The sequence below is a fragment of the Homo sapiens genome, chromosome 12 (assembly GCF_000001405.40).
Source record: "Homo sapiens chromosome 12, GRCh38.p14 Primary Assembly".
In the NCBI taxonomy this organism is placed as follows: domain Eukaryota; kingdom Metazoa; phylum Chordata; class Mammalia; order Primates; family Hominidae; genus Homo; species Homo sapiens.
In genome coordinates, this window is record NC_000012.12 from 89,876,960 (window position 1) to 89,883,200 (window position 6,241).

Genomic DNA, 6,241 nt, shown 5'->3' on the forward strand with positions numbered 1-6,241 from the left:
ACATATCTGCAACCCCTCTCTCCTATTCATCAGGCATTGCTTCCCCAACTCCCTTCTCCACATGTATCAGGGCATTTTGCATCCTCGAATGTGTTGTTTCACATGTATTCATCCACATTTGCCATATTTTAGTGGAGCAGACACCAAGATTTAGGGCAAGGGTTGAAACTTACGGCTTGTATAAGATAAACTGTAATAGGACAATTAATATGTTCCAGACAAGATAAAGGAAAATCAGCTTTGCCAAAGATTGATTGATAAAGCAAGTAAGAGAGGAGATCCAGTTAGAGAAACATAGAAACAGAAAAACCCTAAGATATAGAGAAGCAAAGGCAGAAATGGAGACACATTCGTGTGCGTGCATGTGCACATGGACACACACACACTCACACCAGCATTCTATGCCAGAGCTGAATCTTCATGAGCATTTTCCTTAACTTAGCCTCTTCATGTTTACTTTTTACGCTAGCCTTTAAAAATTGAGATATCTGACTTATGCTCTTTTTGCAGGAATGTTTTTAAAGATTATTTATTTAAAAAATAAAGACCTGCAAAACACTGAGAGATCCTCATAGACAGTAATCATATCTGTCACATATAAAGCATGTACTTATATTTATTATTATAAGTGTTATCTATAATAAGTGTTATATATTCTAAGTTTTTTATAAGTTTATAGATCGTGTATGGGAGGAAAACATCTAGAAAGAGTCTGGTCACTTCTATGTCAAATAAGCAACCACCAGCTGCTGGATAAACTGCTTTTTTATTCTTTTAGGCTCCTTCCAACCCCAGCTATTTCCTCTGACCCTTTCTTTTTAAATTTTTTTTTTAAATGACGGAAGTGAGGGTAGGAGGAGGCCAGATCAAAAAAGGAAAAAGTTCTTTTCATGATATAGACTTACAAGTAATACATCTTTTTATAAAACTGTTTATTTAAGGATAAAAGGGCTCATGGACATCTATGAAATGTAAATCTCGCATAAATGAATAAACAATGACATGTGGCTGCTCTGGCCAGGCGTATCATCATATGTAATGGAAAAAGAAATCCTATTGTTTGGAAATAGGTCTTTATATGTGATTTTAAAGATTTAACAAGTACTTATTCATAGGAAGGAAATGTTAGAATTCATTTTAGAAATTTTATTTTAATCAAATTTATAATTGATCACTTTTTGTCATATTAAAACACAAATATTTGATTGGAAAAAAGGAACATGTGACCAAATACACAAACAGCAGTAAATCCTGTAATGCAAACACTAATAAAACTATTACTACATATTTAATCTTTCCTAGGTAATTGCCAAATAATCTTCATTTTAAATGCTTTAAGACTGTCATTCTGTAAATCAGACTCTCTCCAACTCTAATTTGAAGTGATCCTTCTACTGCTATCAAGGAGTAACAGTTTCTAAATGTCCTCTTCAAACATTTGGTGAAGGAGAAGCAAGTTTCTATGTGTGTTACTTAGAAGTGGTAAGAAAACTCAACTGCAGCACTTAGGGAAGCAGAGGCAGGCAGATCACTTGAGGTCAGGAGTTCGAGAACCCGGGAGGCGGAGGTTGCAGTGAGTAGAGATCGCACCACTGCACTCCAGCCTACGCGACAGAGCAAGACTCTGTCTCAGAAAAAGAAAAGAAAAGAAAACTCAACTGGAATGGATTGAAATATAACTTATAATTGATTATGGTTTTTAAAGTGAATGAAAATAAGTCAAATTAGGGATTTTCCTAAGAGTTACAAAGCAATTACTGATATTAGGATATAACCTTGGAAGTCAGTCCAGTTTCAACTTGACTCTCTCTCACTGCATCATCTTTATTACTGATCAGTTAATAGTTAATTCACATTAATAATCCTGGGAAGGAAGCACTGAAGTGTCTTCCACCCTCACACACTTACACACACACTCACACTTACTGAAAGTCATTGGTTCAAATATATACAGTGCAGTACTCTTCAATTTAAGGTCCAGAAGTTGTTAAGTTTGAAAAGTACTGCACTATTCTAAGACTATAAAAGAGTGTTAAAAGGAAAAACAGTGGCTTTTGTAATTAGAAAGGCTTTATGAACAAGGATATTTAAATAAAAAATTCCGGATATATGTAAATGTACCAGGACATGCCCTCTACAAGCATTGAGGTTTTTCTGGTTTCAATTCAAACTTCTGATTTACAAAGTAAGATATAAGCAGAAGTAGTAGCAGTATCAAGAGCTGTCACTTTTGGGGGGCTTACTACTTAATCTTCCTTGTACAAATTCCATGTAATTTTCACATTATGCCTGTGAATTTAGGGTTATTAATCTGATTTTATAGATAGAGTCATGAATCCAAAAAGGAGCAGAGCCGAATTTGAACTAAGCTCTACTTCACTCAAAGTCAGTGTTTGGTTTCAGAATTGTGTCTCTAAAACAGCACAGGCAGTTATGCCCTATTTACTGGAATATTTGTGTTTTAGCCAAGTTTGCTATAAAGTACACTTTTTTCTGAAAGCAGAACTCCATTTTGCCAATGGTTTATATTATACAATCTGAGACTGTTTACCAGTATACAAGTTTTATAAGGGCTGGGACATGTGTGTTTTTTTCATTGCAGACACAGTACCTGGCAGATAGGGGGTATTTAATAAATACCCATTGACTGAATTAAGTGGGGTAAAAATTATCTTGTAGATAATAGAAGCATGCTTAAGGGTTCAGAAAAAACTTAGCATGCATTTTAGGTTAAAGAGAAAATTTCTAATGAAAGCAATATTACTCAAATATGGTTACATGTTCAAAATATTAGTAAAATTTGACCGATTCTCCAAATTCTAGGAGATACAGTGAATTTTTGACCAGTTTTAAGTTCTGTTACATTAATTTTGACTCAATGTTATATACTCATGCTACATGCAGTTTGGTAATAATTTATTCATATCCATGTTAAGTACTCATATTTTTCCAAACATGAACTTCTCTATTTTTTTTATTTCTTATTCTAGCAGACATAAGAAAAAAAAATGAAAGGGAATAAAAGCAGAACACAGGGTGTGTGACAATCACTTCTTTTGTTCACACTAGTGAGAGAATCTTTCTATTCCTTAAAGTTAATCAAGCAGCAAGTATTTATTAAACACCCAAAGAGTGAAGTACACAAGGCTATTGAATAGCAGTAATCTTTAGGATTATCTTGTGTCAGCGCTTATTTTCCATGTTACTCATAAACGGAGAAATGTATTTATGATGGCTTTCCAAAGAGTTGATTAAAATGCTTAACACGATTCACCTTTTATTTAAAGATAAAATAATTGAATGGGGAATTCATGAAGAGCTCTTCTCAAATTTATATTATATAAGTGATGAGTATGCTGATTTTTACTCTCAGAACGAAAATAAATAAGAAATTATTAAAGAATCCCTTCCTTTAAAAATCAGATTACTATGTAAATTTTATATCATTTGTTTATGTGGTCAGAAATTTTGGGGAAATCCTTCAAACTATTTATCTGTAGCACAAACTAGAATCTGTCTTTTGCAGATTCTTATTGTGCACTAACTTATTAAAAGATTTGGGAAAATCCACTGTAAGGAAACTTGTTTATCTTTGTTGACCACAGTTTTCAATCTTGGTTGATGATGAGGTCTCCTGTCACCCAACACCTATGAACGTATTTGGGAGTGGGATACTCTGGCTGTACTCAGAAGAGCCATGGGGGTGGAGTTCCCTAGAGTCTTGGGGACAAATCCTCACAGGATGTCCTGCTAGGAACATGACCAGCAGAGTCATGGGAGTGGGGAATCTTATTGTTGAAGATCTCTGAGATCTTAAAACGGTAGAGCCTCCAGAATGCTGTTTCAGCCTGGCAGAGCTGAAGGCATTTGACTCAAACATATGCGAGCTATTGCATAGGCTGCACTCGGAAGAGCCATGGGGGTGGAGTCCCCTAGAGTCTTGGGGACACAAGCCTCACAGGATGTGGTCAAAGAAGGTTGTTTTCAGGCCTCAAGATTTAATGTTATTTGCCTGTTGGGTGTTAGACTTACTTGGGACCTATTACCCGTTTCTTCTTTCTTACTTCTCCCTTCAGAGATGGAAATAATATCTGTTTTGTACCTGTCCTACCATTATATTTTGGAATCATAGAACTTGTTTGATTTCATAGGTTCACAGCTTGAGAACAATTTATCTCAGGATGAGTCATACCTTGAATCTCACCTATATATGATTTAGGTGATATTTAGATTAGATGTTAGACTTAGACTTAAAGTTTATGCTGGAATGAGTTAAGACTTTTGGGGCTATTAGGATAGAATGAATTTATTTTTTATGTGAGAATAACATGAATTTTGGGGGATGAGGGGCAGCATGCTATAGTTTGAGTATTTGTGTCACCTCCAAAATTCAGTTTGAAAGTTAATCTCCAATGCAACAATCTTAAGGGGTGAGGCCATTAGTAGGTGATTAGGTCATGAGGGCTCTGCCACGTGAGAACAGGGTTCAAAGTGCCATTTTGGAAGCAGAGACCAGGCCCTCACCAGACACTGAACCTGTCAGTGCCTTGATTTTAGACTTTCCAGGCTGTGGGTCCATGAAAAAAAATTATGTTCCTTATAGATTACCCAATATCAGACATTTTGTTATGGCAGCACCAACAGACTAAGAGAGAAATGAAGTCAGGAAAAACCACTGACATATTAGAACATGGCAGAGGGAAGGACCGGCAAGTTATCGTAAGCACCTTAGAATTTGCCATTTAAAGAGATGGTAGATGTCCACCATCCTGCCCTTGTGCAGTGGGGATATAGGATGCAAAGGAGGATGAACCTCAGCTCCCTACTCATTTAGACTTGCTCATCTGATAAATAGGAGACTACTTCACTTAATGGCTTTCTTCTTCTGGAATGCTGCTGGAGTCAAACAAGAGTGATCAGCACATATTTTTTGACAATTCTTTTTCCACCATGCCCTAGATGAGTATCCCACTCCCAAATATGTTCATAGGTGTTGGGTGAAAGGAGGTTCCATCATCAACCAAGACTGAAAACAGTGGTCAACAAAGATAAACAAGTTTCCTTCCAGTGGATTTTCCCAGATCTTTTAATAAGTTAGTGCACAATAAGAATTTGCAAGAGAGATAAAGTTTGAAGCATTTCCTCAAAATTTCTGACCACAGTCTCTGTATAAGTCAGGGTTCTGTCTGTTTTTAAGTAACAGAAATCCAGCTCTGACAGGCAAAGGCCATAAAGAGAGCTTAGTGGCTCATAGAACTAAGAAGCCCAGGCATGGTTGAATTCTGAGGCCTCAAATGATGTCACCAGGGCCTGTCTCCCTCAGTCTCTTGGGCTCAGCTTTCCTCTGAGTTAGTTTCATTCTCACACAATCTTTCCTTATGTGTTGATCCTTGGCAGCTCCAGGCTTACATCATTTTTAAATCTACAAATTCCACTTGGGAAAAATACCTACTAGAGAATGGAACTTTTCTGAAGTGAATCATTTTTGAATTTAGAGATATTTAAATTGATTGGCTTCCCAATTCCCTGACATTCACCCTACTCCAAGTTAGTGCTTTATAATTTACACAATGTGTTTTTTTTTTATTACTTCCGAAGTCATAACCCAAAGTGGGTACCTTGGGTTAATGAAATAGGTTATGGATACATTGAGGTGAACATATAATTTTACAAACTCTATAGTATAGTACTTAAAATAAACCCTTAAAATATCTTAAGCTATTACTCTATAACCACTGACTATGAACCAATTTCTATTGAATTTTGTTAGAAAACTCCAGAAAATATATACCTATTTGAAAATTTTTAGTAGTTTTCAACTTATTGAAAATTTATGAGTAGACTCCAAATATATTTCATTGAATCACAGGATTCTTCATTAGTTTCTCAAATTGGTACTAAATCATCAGCATCACAACACTGGAAGGAACTGGTGAGTAGTCAATATGAAAGAGGTTTCACTTTAATTGGCCAACTAGTAGTTATTTTCATTTTGAAATGTATAATGATAATGACTTTATTTTTACATATGGGTTATTTTGGGGGATTTTGAATTTTTCAACCTAAGGAAATTGTTCTGTCAAGTTACAAATTGAATTCCCCAGTGAATGCTCATTTCTCTTCCTATGTATTTATTGTGTCCTTCTGGCCAGCTAGGAAAAGAACCATAATGAAAGCAAAATCATTTGGGAGTTTTATAGCTGGAATCTCCAACACTTTTGTCAGTATATCTTATGATACT

At 35.6% G+C, this 6,241-nt stretch overlaps 2 annotated features.

Moving 5' to 3' along the window:
- Nucleotides 3,650-3,779: an enhancer, noted in NCBI's record as "active region_6712". NCBI's record gives its function as "activates an Ori minimal core promoter by ATAC-STARR-seq in GM12878 lymphoblastoid cells {active_cell/tissue: GM12878}" and the evidence as "EXISTENCE:reporter gene assay evidence [ECO:0000049][PMID:35858748]".
- Nucleotides 3,860-3,929: an enhancer, noted in NCBI's record as "active region_6713". NCBI's record gives its function as "activates an Ori minimal core promoter by ATAC-STARR-seq in GM12878 lymphoblastoid cells {active_cell/tissue: GM12878}" and the evidence as "EXISTENCE:reporter gene assay evidence [ECO:0000049][PMID:35858748]".